Here is an 18,107-nt window from a genome sequence, read left to right as displayed (position 1 = left end):
TTTTAGGATTAAGATGTCACAGTAGAAGGTAGACCAGAAAGACAGAGAGAAACAGGAACTCTGGTGGCATGATTTGAGCTGCTGGATCAGTCCTCACCTGAAGCAAGTCCTTACTCTGGACTTTTCATGTTCATGAACCAATAAAGTACACTTATCATTTAGGTTAGATTGAGTTAAAATTTTACTAATTTCAATCAAAAATTAATTGAGGTATGATACAGAGAGATTCCAGTTTTTGGTGGAGTCAGCTGTGTACTGAGCTGATTACACAGGCTGTCAGAAAGACATTCTGGGCTGGAGGCTCTGGACATGCAGGATCCTGGGAGAGATTGATTAGATCCCTTGTCTTGGTTTACTTAGATTATATGCCAGTCATTTGCAAAAATGTATGGTCCAAGTAGAATTCTTCAAAAACTATTTGTACAACCATAATTGGATATCTAATATATTGGTCAGCTGGATGATGCTTTCAAAACAGTCTAATAAGAAAGAGTGGTAAGTTCTTAAATGTCATGATTAGGTGGGGACTCAGCAGCTATAATTGATTGCTGGCATGAGCTACGCTTCCTTCCTGGAGTCATATTCCACATGACACTGATATCAAGTCACCCACATTTATATGAAGTTATTGTCTTATATGAACAGAAATTCACCATTCACTAAAGCAGCAAAATTTAACATCAAAGCTGGCGTCATTACACATAACGTATTTCCTTTGTAAAGTAAAAGAGGTATTCAGGGAGAACTCTAATTAGGTTGAGAAAACAGTGGGCTATGAAACATTTCTTTCAGGAAAGAGAGGGCAGCACAAGCACCAGCTCTAACTTTCAATGAATTTAATGCAATGAGCTGTTCTATTAGACAAGGGGTCACAAAATCTGGCCTATGGCCTGTCTTTGTAAATACAATTTTATTAGAACATAACCATGCCCATTCATTTACATATGTTTATGGCTATTTCCATCCTACAACAGCTGAATTGAGTAGTTAGGAAAGAGACTGAATGGCCTGCAAAGACTAAAATATTTACTACCTAACTCTTCATAGAAAAAGCTTGTGGATCCCTACTATTAGTCTGTGAATGAAGGCAGAACTATATGATTTTCATCTTTGTATATATTCTTTACTGTATATTGGATGCTCGTTAGATATTAATCATTGTGCTACTGCACTTAACATTTTAAGTCCTAAACAACTCTATGGGGTTAGATCTTCTTCTCTTGGTTCTACAGAAACCAATGAGGCAAAAAAATTTTATTGAGGATACACAAGCAATAATTTCCCAACCTGGAAATCAAACCCAGATCTGCCTGTCTGACCCTGTGCTCTTAACCACTGCACATCCTACACTGTTTCTCCATCCCTTTAAACAGTTCTAGGTTCATAAAATGACTCAATACTGGATGTCGAATTGAAATGGAATCAGAATTACTACTTTAAAATATTTGTTTACCTTAATAAATCATTTGCCTACCAGGGAATACCTTGCTAATTGAATTCACATAAACGGCCTGGGGAAAATTGGCAAGAAGAGGGAAGCAGTTCTTTCCAATATGAAGGAAGAGTCTCATTGGCCTTTTTCATACAAACTATCTGCTCAGTTTTGGTCTCCAATAGGAAGCATTGACAAATCAATGAAGTTGACCAAAAGAAAGAAAAACAGAACGATTGTTAATAGGATGATATCCTTGATTTATGAAAAAGAGAGTAGAAAAGTCCACCATCACTTCAAATGGGGTAACTTACTACTTTTGTGTTACCTTTTGTGCTAGGGTGACTCAAACCAACAAAAAATGTTCTGCGGCTCAAGGCTTTACACAGGTGAAGGACCTCACTTGCTTACAATGACTGATGAACAGATGCAATGCTTTTCAGCGGTTATTCCCCGGCCTCAGGATGGCTAGGTCATGCGGATTGCTATACCATGGCTTGCTACTGCACCTCTCCCTTCCCACTTTTCTCATTCTGGGCTTTCTCAAATGTGGTTTTTATTTTCATTTACGTATTTTTTGAGATGCAGTTTCACTCTTGTCGCCCAGGCTATAGTCCAATGGCACGATCCCGGCCCACTGCAACCTCCACCTTCTGGGATCAAGCAATTCTCCTGCCTCAGCCTCCCAAGTGGCTGGGATTACAGGTGCCTGCCATCATGGCTAATTTAGTATCCTTAGTAGAGACAGGGTTTCACCATGTTGGCCAGGTTGGTCTTGAAGTCCTGACCTCAGGTGACCCACCTGCCTCAGCCTCCCAAAGTGTTGGAATTATAAGTATGAGCCACCGCACCTGGCCTCAAATTGTGGTTTTTATAGATAAAACTATTGCCTCTACAGACAAAATGCAAAGATGAGATGCAATAGTAATGGAGAGGCACTACTGGATTAACATTTTATCTTTGCATTTGAGAAGACTCCACTTCCCAAATCATATAAGCAACCAAAAGGTAGCTATTTCTATGGGAAGAATGAAACAAAGTTTTCAGTGCCAGAGACGGCTTTGGATTATAGTTTACTTATTATTGTGGAATATTATTTTTTTTTAGAAAAGTAGAAAGCTCTAGGCTGAAGGCCTCAAACACACTATGAACATTTGTAATGGAAACCCCCATTCCATGTGTACCACAGTCCCATTTCCAGAAAAAAACCTTGTCATGCCAGAAGCCAGGGTTGTTTTCTGCTATTAAGCATGCACTGGGATTATCAGAGGCACCTTGGAGAGTCAGGGGTGCTGCTGAAAGAACATTCTGGGAAGCAGACAGGAAGATAGTTACAGAGGTATATCTCTGGGGTGTCTTGGTGCCATTGCCAGTGTTTGCATTGTCCCAGCTAACGTAGGGATTCTTTATTTTTTTTTTTTTTTATCCAAAAGCAGAAGTTAGCAGTAATTCTATAAAGGCTTCAGTCCTCCACACAACACTCATTTTAGGGATTCATCTTAGAAAAATTTTCTTTCAGTTGTCATTTTTTTTTTCTAGACAATTGCAAATAAGCCTATCTGAGCTTTTCTCATCCATTTTGGAGAACAAAAACATTTTTTGACTAAGGCAAAAGTTGTAGAAATTACTATTCATTTATTATTTAACTAAAATTCCCCATCTTCTGTAGGCCTCCTCCAATAAGTTCAGCCAGCCTTGATGTCATTTTCCAAATGACTCACAGCCTTTGCTTCTCATACCTTGACTTCTCAAAGTGTTGTTTTTGGATTACCTGCATCAAAAACACCTAGGTGAACACATTACAAATGCATATCTCTGGACCTTACCTCAGTCATCCTGAATCAGAATATCTGAGATGAGACTCGGGCATTTTAGCAAGCTGCCATGATTCTTCTACTCACTGAAGTTTGAGAATGGTGGTTGCATTGTTTCCATTTTGACCATGAGTAATTCTCAGATGATCCCTTTATATGTCCTGTTGCAGTCACATGGGCAAGTTGTATCCTGCATAAAAGCACCTTGTCAACAGGGAGGGAGGATAAAATCAAGATGTTCACTCTGGTGCAAGATTGTGCCCACCAGAGGAAGAAGGTGCTTTTTCTAATTTGCACAAATGTCCCTTGGTTGCTCACTGGTTACCCACAAGGCTGCATCTGCCTGGAAGGGTCATCTTTTTCTAATTTACACAAGGACTCCGTGTGGGCTGGCAGTGCCCTACTTGTAGGTCTAATTTGTAAAGCCCATGAGACAGTCATCGCGTGTTAAGCTTTTTGTCCTGCTTCCCATTGTACCACACACACCAGTAAAACTCAATATTTGTAGAATCAAATTGAAAATGCTAATAACATATTAATACTAGAGAAAGAAAGACAGTTTTATCACTCACTCAAATAACAATAGCCTCCTTCATTTCTCTCCTCCCCTGAATTGAGCAAAATCAGGAGAATTTTCCACTGCAGACCACAGATTGAACATACAGTCTGTGTGGGGGGCAAAATGAAACTCTTCTTTTCCTTCCTAGTGGAAATAAAACTTTTTGGCAGTAATTCTTGGATTGTTTTCTTTGGAAATTGCATTCATGTGATTTTCAAGATGTTTCCCGGGCTTTGTTGAAATTTGATCCATTTAACAAGAAACACATAACTCAATTCATGTTAAAATTCTCAGGGTTACTTAAGAATAATTATGAGTTGTCCATGTGTGCTAGAAAAACAGTCCAGACTTCCTCAAGAATGGGAAGATTATTTGTCTCTCTGGGGTAATGTTTCTCCTGGTTAAGTATGCCCAGTGAAAGAGTTTGCTCAAAAAGTAACCCCAAGTTTTTCCCTGCGAAGTAGTAGACAGGCTTCATGAGTTTCACTCCCAAAGCCATTTTCAGAGGTGATTTATCATGTGAACCAAGGGTCTCTATGAACTTCTATGGAAATGACAACATAACGTCTCACACACCTAAAGAGAGTGAGACTTGGGCTGAATTCTGAGATGTAATGGTTGGATTTCATCTAAATCATAGTTTTCTGAGCTTACTTTCTTGGCTAGCCTTTCCTTCACTTGTACCCTTCTTTTTTACTAAACCCTCTAAGCTACAGCTAAATCAGATGAAACCCCGTAAATCTCCCTTGCACTCATACCACTTCTCTAACACAGAAATGGAATCCCCTGAGCGTTCACGGACTCACAAGCAGCAAAGATGAAATACATGGAGAAGTGGGGTTGGACCCACTCCAGCCTGCGAGTTGAAGCTCCGCTGTGGCCTTGCAAGTCAGGAAATGCTTCTTGTTCCACCAATATTGAAAAAAAAAAAAAAAAAGGCCGATCCCTATTCATCTCTTTCTTAGCTGAGCCTCTTCTTGTTGGTTACAGGTAACACACACCCATTAGTTAGGGGTATTCATTGCAAAGATACAGGAGTGTGTCATAGAACCCAAAGTCCACAGAAAGAATGAGAACTGGAAATCAGAGGTCATCAGTACACAGGCAGTGTTTTCTCACCACTCTTCATCTTTGCTTCTCTCACTTCATGCACTAGCTTCTTAACCCAGTTCTACATGGGGAACACAGTATTCTCTTGTTTAAATTTTCTGTTTCAAAGGTCAGCCCAGATTTGCTTTTCTTCGTCGCGATTCCAAATTCCCAAGGAAGGGAGGTTGATTGACTCACTGTAGATCTGTAACCTCTTCTGGTATAGTCATCTGTGGCTAAGGATAGAGTCAAGCTGGACCAGCATGAGTTCTGGGAGCTTGTCTCCATTCCTTCCTGGATGGTGGGAAGGAACATCCCTGAGAAAGCAAACTGGGCAGAAATTGAAAAGGAAACCTGTAAAATCCTAATGTCTATGATCCTAGAAACAAAATAGCACTTTAGGTTCATTTATCCCAACCACCCATTCATGGTAGGGATAAGTTCTGCCACATACTTGACTAATAATTGATAATCCTTCAGCCCTGCTTGATTCCCCCTCATGAGGATGGAGAGTTTACACCTTATGATCCATTTAACAAGAAACACACAACTCAATTCATGTTAAAATTCTCAGGGTTACTTAAGAATAATTATGAGTTGTCCATGTGTGCTAGAAAAACAGTCCAGACTTCCTCAAGAATGGGATGATTATTTGTCTCTCTGGGGTAATGTTTCTCCTGGTTGAGTATGCCCAGTGAAAGAGTTTGCTCAAAAAGTGACCCTGAGTTTTTCCCTGCAAAGTAGTAGACAGGCTTCATGAGTTTCATCCCCAAAGCCATTTCAGAGGTGATTTATCATGTGAACCAAGGGTCTCTACGAACTATGAACTATGAGGTCTCAGTATTATTAACATTTCTTTCTTAGGTTACAAAAAAAATTCTTGCAGAAATGCCCATCCAAAGATAGTTCTAACTATTAAAGCAGCTTGTATCTCTAACTTTGAAGTGATATATATATATAATATGTATATTATAAATTACATATATTCATATATAATATATTATCTATAAATTCAGGAGCTTAAAAAGAGATTAGCAAGAGGAAAGATGGTATGAGAAAAAGAGCATAGGTTCTGGTGATAGATTGCCAATTTTCAAATCACTATTCACTAGCTCTGCAACCTTCAACAAACACTTGATCCTCTATTTCTTCAATTGTAAAATGATCACAGTGTCATGAAGATAAAATACTGTAAAGTGCAAAGAACATTCAGCTAAGTGCCTGACACCGAGTTGAAGCTCAGTATGTGTTAGCTGCCATCATTTTCCTTTAGCATTACTTACTTGTAGAAATACAACCAAATCACATATTTTCTAGGCCTTCTGTCATTCTGCCACTGATATTTCTCAGTTTGACCAGATAACTTTCCTCAAAGGACCTTGTCCATGCCAATGTCTAAGGCAATGACAGCGCCAAAATATTTTTCAGACACAGCCTGGGACTTGTTTCTGGTAAGCAGGCTGGAGAAACATTCGCGCTTCACAGACCACCTGTCAAAGGGGCGGGTACCATTCTATTTGTTATTCAAGCATAAAGCTGAAGCCTTCTCGCTCAAGCTGTAATGATGGGAACTAAGTGCAGAGACTACTGCATGTATAGTTTACAGAATTGAAATACAGAAGTTGACATTTTTATGATTTTTCATAATCTTTGTGAGTAAGTGGTGTAGCCAGAGTCAAGGAGCTCTGCATCCGTTCTCACCTCTTGGGATTGGTGTAAAGGTGTAGAGAGAGAAAAGAAATGGAAACAATTGGAGCTACCTGAGGGATGCATTTGCTCTTTCCTCTCCCTAAGAAGCCAAGGAGGGTTGCATAATATCAGGCTGCCCTAATGCATGGGGACAGCATTACTCCCTAGGCTGCAGGTGCCCTCAAAGCAAGAGGTACCAAGAATGTGGTCAGCTAACATCTGTTTAAAAGAATTACTATTGCATTTTGGCCTTGCTGTGAATAGTGTGCCTGTGGATCTTCCTGGCAGCAAAATGGAATAGAATTGAGTGGGTATCTTGAAGCAGGCTTCTTCCATGTTCTGGGGTCACTGAGGGCTTTGGGAATCATGCCTGGGCCACATGCACCACATTGGTTTCCATAATGCTTGCTGGGCAGCCAGAACTTGTCAGATGTATCCCAAGATCTTACTGCTGTGCAGAGATATAATATTAAAAAAGAAAAAGGGGCTGGAGGAATGTCACATGTCCAAGCTAACCATTTACTAAACACAAGATCTATGTGAGGCATGATCTTTAAATCAGCAAACATTTACTATGCACTTGCTATGCACTCTATATATGGCAGTGCCATTACAAGGGAGGACAGAATGTATCCAAGAGCACTAGGAGTGTAGAATATAGCCAGATTCTACCTGGGGTCAGGGAGAACTGAGAAAGTTTCTCAGAAGTGTGATATTGATGAATGCCTTAAACAATGGTGTCAGTTTCCAAGAATCTGTAATCACATGAAAAATGCCCAGGGTGTAATGCTGAGTGAAATACGTATATACTAAATATTTTATAGCACAATTGAATTTGATTACACAAACCATAAACAAAATATAAGGCAGACACTTTTTTCTATTTTATCTTCTATTTATACCTACCTGATGAATAGATGCAATTATTATCTGCATTTTGTTATGTATTTAAGAAAAAAAAGAAAAACCACCAAAATGTTAATCTGAGTAGTTGATTATGAGTAAATGTTGTTTACCTCTTAATAGGCTATTATAGCATTTAAGGTGTCAGATAAAAATAACAAACATGTTATTTTTAAATAGACTCTTATATATATGGCCAATTAATTACATATATGGTCAATTGACAAAGGTGCCAAGACCATTAAATGAGAGCAAGGATAGTCTTTTCAACAAACGGTTCTGGGAAAACTAGATATCCATATGCAAAAGAATAAAGGTAAACCCTTACCTCACACCATATACAAAAATTAACTCAAAATGCATCAAAGACCTAAACAAAAGAGTTAAAACTCTAAAACCGTTAGAAGAAAGCATAGAGGAAAATAATGACATTGGATTTGACCGGGATTTCTTGGATATGAAAACAAAAGCACAGACAACAAAAGAGAATAAATAAATTAGGCTTTATCAAAATTAAAAACATTTGTGCATGAAAGTACACTATCAAGACAATGAAAAGGCAACACATAGAATGGGAGGAAACATTTGAAAAGCATACATTTGATAGGAGATTGAATTTCAGAGTATTTTAAAAACTCCTATAACTCAACAAAAAAATGAACAACCAATTCAAAAATGGGCAAACAAAATGTGGTATATACATTAATGGAATGTTATTCAGCCATAAAAAGAAATGAAATTTTGATGTGTGCTAAGAAATGGATGAACCTTGAAAAACATTATGCTGAGTAAACTAAGCCAGACACAAAAAACAAATATTGTATGATTCCATTTATACGAGGTCCCTAGAACAGGCAAATGCATACACACATAAATTATAATAAAGGTTACCAGAGGCTGTGTAGGAAGAGAACATAGGAGTTATTATTGGATTGGTACAGAGTTTGGAATGATAAAAGAATTCTGAAAATAGATAGTGGCTCCAAAAAGAAAAAAAAAAGAGTAAGATAATTCCTGAGGAAGGAAACGATACTCCAGGCATGGAACAGAGAAGTGAAAGCATGGAGGTGTGGATGGTCCCGTGTTTGAGTCCTGTGAGGCTGTGTCATGGGTTGTATTAGAAAGAAAGGCTAGGGTCTGAGGCCTGGTTGAGCAGGGCCCTGAATGCCAGTCAAAGAGGGGGAATGGCTTGAAAAAATACAAGGCTCTCAAGCTTACTTTTACATGCTAGACTTTTACCTAAAAATCCCTCAATTGTTTTGTGCTACTCTTGAAATAAAACGTAGGCAGTCCAGCTGTGATTGTATTCACAAGATATTCTGGAATCCTTTTTTTGCATTGGCTTGAGATGGTTTCTGGTTCCTTCAGATGAAAGACTCTTGACTATGACATGAGCAGGACATGAGCATGTCCATCCAAAGTCCAGCTCACTCCAAATCTCACCCTCTTCCTTCTGCTACTCAGTGAAGGCCAGGAAACACATCCTGGATACCCTGCCCCAAAGCATGGGGTGGTGTTCTCACTCTCCCCACAGCTGACCTATTATTGCTAGGCCTCACTAGCCTTTCCCATGCCACTAAGGGACTGGGGAAATGTGATGACTCAGTTTTAAAGCTTACCACCCAAATTTTAGTGACCCCACTGAGTGTACAAAAGGGACACCTGTGTTTTCCCTTCCATGTGATAAAGTTACTACTCATAAAGGTTGATTTTTCATTTTTCGCAACCCAGGACAAACAAGAGTCTTGGGCCAGCAAACATTTCCCAGGCATTATCTCATAAATGCATTTCCACTTGAAATAATCCTTGGAACTTGGTGCTAAACTTAAGGCTCACTTATGGGGTTGTCTGAGGACCCATTTTTAAATGAATATGAGGTTTCCTGATTCTTGATTGAGCACCTACCAGGAACAAGGCCTATGAGATATACACAAATAAATAACAAGGCTATTGCCCATAGGATATATACAAAGGTAGGGGTGGAAAAGATAGATATTCCCACCTAACTCAAAAGACAGAGGGAAGTCATTACCACACCAGACACACAAATAAAGCATTGCATGGAACCGCAGGGGAGGATCATTCTGTTCCAGGTCAAAAATTACAATTGACATGACCCTAAGATAAAGACAGATTCAATGAAGAAGTGTTTCAGCTTAGGAAGCAACGGGCACAGAGTCATGGAGGGAAAAAGTTCTAGGAGCGAGGGGCTTTCTGACATGGCAAGAACTAGATTGTCTGGAGCTATGCTGCCCAATATAACAGCTAATAGGCCCACAAGGTGATTTAAATTTAAATCAACCAAAATTAAATAAAATTTAAAATTCATCTTCTCAGTTGCACTAGCCATATTTCAAACTTACATAGATTAGCCACATGTGGCTAATGGCCACTGTATTGGACAGCACCAATATAGAATATTTCTACCATCACAGAATGTTCTATCGGACAACAGTAGACTAGAGAGGAACAGGAACAAGAAGTAGTTAGAGTTGAGGTTTATTCCTTATCTAGACATTTGGTAGGAAAAGTCAACATAAATTTTAAATTTTAGGAAAGTATTTTCATATAGTATGCTATGCATCGACTATTGCTCTGGATGTGAACCAAATCACATGATTCACATATGTGATTTCTCTACCTTGTCAGTTAAGGTGATTAGATTATGCTGCAGTAACAAATAGTCCCTTATCTCCATGGTTTAATACAACAAAGAATTATTTCTTGTGCTCACTACATTTCCAACATGGGTGGTCACTCAGGGACCCAGGCTAGTGAAGACATCATCTTGACAAACATTTCCTTAACTGCCAAGACAGATAAAAAAAGAAGGTTGGTGCTGAGCACCAGCAGCTAAATGCCTCAGACGAAAGTGACACACATCACTTCCGTTCACATTTTGTTGGCCAAAGCAGATCACACAGCCACCGTCAAGAGAGTAAGAAAGTATCTCTTCATGTCACCAGAAAGAGAGACTGCAACCAGAATACTTGTGTATAACCCTAAAGACTGCCACTTATGTTAATAATCAATTACCCACCAAGATGTCCAACCAGAACAATTGACCACAGGTGTAAAAAAAATGTCAGAGCTGCAAAGATTGACAGAAACCTGACCAATGAGAGGCCTTAAACAACATCCAGGGACTGTTCTAGAATAAGTACCACTTATTTGCTTCACATTTCTAGGACATCATTTATAAGAAAGAAGAATGAGAAGCCACAGCCATGACTGTGGGGTTTTCTTCCCTTCCCAGAATTGCTCCTTACGTAGCTGTCTATGCCATAGTGGCTCCAAGTTTTCTATAGGCAGGGTCTAAAAGCACAAACCTAACCAAGAGGAATGGAATGAGATTTGTCTTAAGGCTGGGTTTGCTTAGCAAGATTGCTGTTTTTACTTAGAATGAATGTTTATTTGGAATGGCTTATGGTGAGGGGACTGCTGACCAATGTTATAGGAGGTAAAACACTTTCAAGCCCCCACCTTGCACTGTCAAGCCCCCACCTTGCACTGTCACCAGTCTGGGACCATGGAAGGGAATCAAAGAAACGTGTGTTGTTCTGCCTCTTCAGACCAAAAAAAAGAAAAAGAAAAAAGGTAGCCCACTAGGGTGGCCAACCATAGTGGTTTCCCTGGGACAGAGTGATTTCCCAAATGATTTACCAGTGCTTTGGCAACTTTTTAGTTGCCTGGGAACAATCCCAGGCAAACTGAGATGGTTGATATCCTATGGCCTAGAGAACACGCAGCTCTCAGACATATTTTATTTTGTCATTGGGTGTTATTTTTAAGTTTCAGTAAGTTACGATCATTTAAGAATTAGGTTTCTTTACCCTCCAGATACATGCCTCTTTAAACAATTCAGAAGATGTACCCACTCTGAGACCTGTATTCCCTCAGGGCAGTCATCAACCAGGGACAAGTGGTGGCAGCTGCCCCCTTTAGACAGTTCATGTTCTTCGCATGTCTTCACAGACCTCACCTGAGCTGTTTTCACTTTTTTATGTCACCTTTCGGACCTGAGGCATAAGGCTGCACATTAAAAACACCCAGGTGGCCTTTACAGTTCCAATATTTAGACTGTACCCCAAAACAACTGTATAAGGATCCTAGGGGTGGAACTCTGGCATCCACATTTTTCTTAATATGGTAAAATACATACAACATAAAATTCGGCATTTTAACCATTTTGAATATATAATTCTGTAAATTAAATACATTCATATTGTGCAACCATCACCACCATGCATCTTCAGAAGTTTTTTTCATGATTCCGAATATAAACTCTGCACCCATTAAACAATAGCTCCCCATTCTTCCCTACCCCCGCCTCTGGTAACCACTGTTCTATTTTCTGTCCATAAATTTGTCCATTCTAGGTAGCTCACATAAGTGGAATCACACAATATTTGTCTTCTTGTTGTCTAGTTTATTTCACTTAGCATAATATTTTTAATGTTCATCCATGGTATAGCATGTGTCAGTATTTTCTTCCTCTTTAATGAATAAAATTCCATTGTAGGTATATACTACATTTTGTTTATCCATTCATCCTTCTATGGACATTTGAGTTATTTATTCTTTTTGGCTGTTGTAAATAGTACTGCTATAAACATAGAAGAACATGATTCTATTAGAGTCCCTGCTTTCAATTCTTTGGGGTGTATACTTAGCAATGGAATTGCTGGATCATGTTGTAATTATGTTCAATAACATTCATATTTTTAAAGCGCCCCGCCCCCGGGTGATTCTATTGTGCAGACAAGGCTGTGGACTTCTGTATTAGAACTTGTAAACTCTGAAGAATCTACACTTTCTCGTTTCCATGCGTGTGTGGCAGGGAACAAATGAACATCTTAGTTAATTCAGCCATAAAATAGGAGTTTAAAAACAGTTTTGAGAATACATAGAATGTCTTTCTGCCATCTTCCTCAAGCCTCTGAAAACAATCCTCTGCAGTCCTTTATTGGATGCTTCCATCAACCTTTCAGAAGAACTACCCTCAAAGAATATTTCAAATTTCATTATATATACTCCTTTAAAATTTTAACTCAATCTGTAGAATTTTATAAAAATGCACTGGATTAGAAAATGACACAAAAATAATATCCACTGGTTTTCTTTTATAATATCATGCAACTAAAGTGACACATTTTGCAGTAGTACAGTTATTAAAATGCAGCCCTGTGCCGGTATGAATGTCACTTATATTTAAAAGGAAAGTAATTTTACATGATTTGCTCTCTTATCTTTTGTCCTAGCAATACAGAGAGATTTGTGGATTCAGTGACTTCATCAGATGGTCTTATTACCTCTACCATACTACTTTAAATTAAGACTGGAAGCTTTTAGAATCCTTCTTCCCAAGGGAATTTATGAAATGTCAAAATGGTCACATCAGCCACTTGGGGCTGGCCTGGGAATAAAGACTTAATTTGGCCATGGGAATAGAAGAGGGATATTTCCTTGAACTTCTTTCGCCCTCCTGGTCTTTCTCCTATGAAAACATTCCATTGTGCTGTATCATTGTCCAAACAGAAACACAAGCAGCTGAACTCAATTTATCAGGGAGCTCATTTAGGTATCATCTAGGGATAGGAAACCCAACTTCAGTGACTTGAACACTGAAGGGAGGTTATGAATTCATGTAATCAGGAGGAAGAAGGGTAGGCTTCAGATGAAGTGAGATCCAGAGGTTAAATATTCCCATAGTATGCACTTTCCCTCTGTTGGATATCCTATAGTGATGTCTTCATCCTAAAGTGGCTGCCCAGCAGGTCCACACTCTCCCCTTATGTGACCAAAAGACCTGCTATAGTTCTGTATTTTCCCTCTTTACACCACACTGCCCACAGGGAGTCATGAGGGTCCCCTCCTTGATTGGGAGGCACCAATCCCTCCCAAATCAGGTGACTGAGAATGGGAACAGCATGTTCTCCCATAGGAAACTCAGCATTCTCTTACCAAGAAAAGAGAGCAATCGATTCTGGGCAGCAAACAGCATGTGTCTACGATGCCAGGTGTGTTCTGTCCAATGCAGAGCACAGCATGACTCTTAACCTCCCTTGTTCCCAACAATGCTGTCCAACGGAACTTTTTGCAATCACAGAAATGTTCTCTATCTATGCTGTCCAGTGCAACAGCTACCTAACTATGTGTGACTGACTATTCAGTACCTGACATGTGGCTAATGCAACTGAAGCACTTTATTTTTGAGCTGTTTTAAAAAGTAAATTTAATTTAAATAGCCACATATGGCTAGGGGCTGCCATATTGTGCAGTGCAGTTCTAGAAACCGATACTCCATTAAAGTAACAGAAGATCACATTCGTTTCTCTGGGAAGCACATAATATTTATGGCATATAATGGAGCATATTATCAATAAGCTTTCATATCTTTTTTCTGTTTATGAGGCTACTGTATCATACCTTTGTCATTCTGTATACTTGCAATTAATTATTTAGACTTAACTACAAAATTTTACATTTATTTCAGGTTAAGTTTTCAGAGGATCCCCATCCTTAAAGATATTTCTTATCCTGAATTTTAAAAATTCATAATATTACTTGCTCTACCAATCCTATGTTGGTCTCTATCATGAAGGGAATCTAGCCTATAGCAGAGATTTTTTTTAACCTGTAGATTATGAATGGCTTCTAAGAGGACATGAAACTACTGAAGATTTTTGTGTGCTTCTACTATGCTGTTTTTGTTCCCTCCAAGGGAAATTTAAGTTCATTAAGTTTTCAAAGATTAAAATCAGTCATCAATAATTTGCACCTTTGCACAAATTATTAAAGCATGGCAGAAATCTATGACCTGCTGTTAAAAATGGCCATCCAGGTAAACAGGTAAACACCAGTGTTTAAACTACAGGCTCTGTCTCTGGTCCCTGACTGTTGCTCACCATGTGGCAGAGCCACAAAAATCAGAAACTTACACATGTTGGTCTCTTTCTTTAAGTTTTGACTTCTTCCCCAAATTTGCTAACTATTGTTCACGCTCTAGAGCCCTTGGGTAGTTTTTGTATTTTGTCTACAGTTTATAGTTGTTATGTGTGAGAGTGTCCTTCTTATTACATTATGCGTAACATTTATTTAACCAGATCTCTATTACCGACCATTTAGAATCTGACTAACATTTTTTTCCAGTCCAATCATTTCTGAAATGAACATCCTTATTTGTGCCTCTTGAGCAAGAATGCAACTAAAAATTGAGAAGTGGAGATGTGGCTTATGGAGTAAGCACATTAAGATTATAAAACATGTGGCAGAAGGTCCGGAAACAAATAATTTCATCATAAATAATATCATCATATGAATTAACTATTTGGTATGAATTAATATACATAATAGAAGTCCAACATTTATTCATTGTATGAAATGTACCAAAATGCTTTCAGACAGGGTGGCCGCCCTGTAGTTACCACCAACATGCTTTCCAAAGTGCCTGAGTGCTGCCAATGCCCTGGTATATACAGCTAAAGGAACTTTGAATTTTTTTCCTCTGGAACATTTGAAGAAGAGGCATTTCTATCCATTTGTAGTGAATTTTACATGACTATCAAAAGCCACAAGGCCAGAGAAAGTAGAAGTAATTGGGCAATCCAAAGCACTTATTTATCCTTGATATTCTTGCTTACATCTTAAAACTGGGCTCAGGACCATAGGGACCATCCCCGAATGCTTTGCCTTGTCTCATGCTGTGAGGCCATCAGGGAAACATTGTATTTGTACAATCCCGGAGCCACAAAGTTTGCAAAAGTGCACACTGTGAGGACAGGATGATGAAAAGGAAGCTTCTCTCAACTGTCCACCCCTAATGTAGGCCAGCCCCACTCTCAACAAACAGCAGCCTTCCCAAAGAGCAAACGTTAAGGATTATTAAACCTTCATTTCTTAATTTCCATTTTGATTCAAAAATCGCAGGAGACTATGATCTTACTTTATGATTCTTTCCCTATGCAGTTGGAATTGGTGATCTGACATTTATAAGCTGGGAAAGGTAGGGTTTTTCTTTATGGCATTAAATATTCTCTTTCATGATGGTATTTCACTTTACAAATGGCAAATATATCATGATGTGACCTGCGTAGAAGTGTTTTCAAGGGAGGTTTGGGAGTTCTGAAAAATTCACCTTGCTGTGTGGCATGTTGAAAGCCCACTATCACGTCTGATGCACTTTATGCTGGCACCATGCACCATATTGGTGAGAGAAAGCTAACCAATACGGGGAAAGACTTGGAGTTTCCATTTCATATTCAGCAAAGTTGTTTTTCTAATGAATTCTAAGAACACAACAAAGATGCCATTGGTATCAAGCTCTTTCATATTTTTTTTTCAGTCAGGTGTTTATGCAGGAAATACTAAGCATTCACATGTGCCAAACCTCAATCTAGACCCTGTGGGGAATACAAACGTGAAATATCCTTAGACCAGCTTAGGGTAGGGTCCTAGGTAGTTTCTTGCTCAGGAGAGCTTCCAAGGTCAGGCTCTTTATGCAGTTCAATGTGGCAGTATTGACATTTTAAGAGAAATACAGTTTGTACCTTTATGGAAAGAATATAGAGCATGTGAATGTTAAGTAAAAAATTACAACTGTGTGAATTCACAGTGACGTGAAAGTTCTCACCCTGCTTTATAACTTAAAGCCAGCTGAGTTTGTGTCCCTCCCTCCCCATTAGACAGTAGACATCCAGTGAGCAATGAGCCTCTTGCTTTTTATCCTCCCAGTTCATTTCATTCTTTCTCCTCCCTTATTGATGGAGTGACCCCTATGTGCCCGGCACCCTGTAAGAATAGGAAATGCACACTATGCCCCCCGGTACTCTTGCTTATGCTACCTGAGGATTCGAAGGCAGGCTTTACCTTCATAGCTCCTACAAGGTGATCATGCCTTTTCCTTCTCTTAGCAGAGTTCTAAGAATGCCCAGGACCATAAATCAATAAGTTGTCCGTGGCAAACAATCTACCAGAGCTTGGGGATAGCTGGGCAGTATTTCTCTAGGGAACGAAGGCTGGCTAAATAGCCAAAGTTTATTGAAGTGCTCCATACATTGCTTAAGACTAGAATTCACAGTCAACTGCCTGGGGTGGCTTTCACTCCATCCTTCCTTCCAAGAACCACAGAGATGTAGTAAATGAGCCACAGGAATAGGGATTTCTTCCAGGCTGGAGATATTACAACCCTTCTCTCAATATAAGAGTTGGCTTGAAAAGGCAGCATTCACTATTGAGGGGATAACTCTGAAGAGGGCTTGTGGTTATAATGGTTTTATGATTATTTTGGATCTTTGTAAAGACTCCTGTGTTTGGGTACTGATTCCACACTGGAGAGATCACACAAACATTCCTTAACATTAGTCTGTGGCTTTGTTAGACAGAATTGAAAGAGCTCTGTGTCCATTCCAGTCCCCAGTCATACCCAAAATCATCTGTCATTCACATGACTGTGGATTTTTTTTCAAAATTAGACTGTTAGTCTTCTGGGTTTTTTTTGTTTTGTTTTTGTTTTTTTTAATTACATATACAAAAACAGTCTCCAGGAAGTCTGTGCTATGTGTTGAAAACAAAGGATACTTAAGTGAGGTTGTTGTCTTCCAAAAGCCTATAGATAAGAAGGTAATATTTGCTAGTTTAAGTGCAAACATATGTACACATACATATATATATATAAAAACAAACAAATAAACAAGTTGGAAAAATATCTGCCCCTTTTATCTATCATTAATCAATGGATCAGGAAATACTGTCTGAGAAGCTATCCTTTGGGGGAAGTCTACACTATATGTTGAAAATAAAGATGTTTAAGTCAGGTCACTGTCTTCCAAAAACGTATAGATGAAGAGAATTTTCATTGAAATACACACATACATACATACATACGTAAAAATAAATATTGCATGTTCTCACTCATATGTGAGAGCTGAAAAAATTGATCTCATGGAGTTGGAGAGTAAAATGATGGTTACCAGAGACTGGGAAGAGCAGTGGGTGTGGCAGGGATTGAGGAGGAGTAAAGACCCAGTTAATGGGTATAAAAATACAGTCAGGGAGAAAGAATAAGATCTAGTGTTCAGTGGCACAAAAGGGCAACTATAGTTAATAATTTATGGTACATTTCAAAATAACTAGAAGAGTGGAATTGGAATGTTTTTAACAATATTTATGCTATATTTCAAAATAACTAGAAGAGTGGAATTGAAATATTCCTATCACAAAAATATGATAAATGTTTGAGGTGATGGATACCCCAATTACCCTGATTTGATCATTATACATTGTATACTTGTATCGAAATATCACATGCACCCCATAAATATGTACAACTATTATGTATTCATAACAATTAAAATTTTAAAAAAATTTAACAGAATTTAGCAAAAAACCCCACACAGACATACATAAAAAAACAAATTACCAGGTTGGAAAAAAAATACCAAAGATGAAAAAAGATATGCATTGAGCAAATATTTTCGAAGTATTTGTTTACTAGGCATGTTCTAGTGCCAACAGAGAGCTTTTATTTTAGGGAGATAGACAAATAATAAACAAGTAAATATTTAATTTCAGGTAATAGAAAGTTCTATAGAGAAAAAATAAAGTAGGATAAAAATGAATT

The sequence above is a fragment of the Homo sapiens genome, chromosome 5 (assembly GCF_000001405.40).
Source record: "Homo sapiens chromosome 5, GRCh38.p14 Primary Assembly".
In the NCBI taxonomy this organism is placed as follows: Eukaryota; Metazoa; Chordata; class Mammalia; order Primates; family Hominidae; genus Homo; species Homo sapiens.
Note: the sequence above shows the minus strand (reverse complement) of the source record.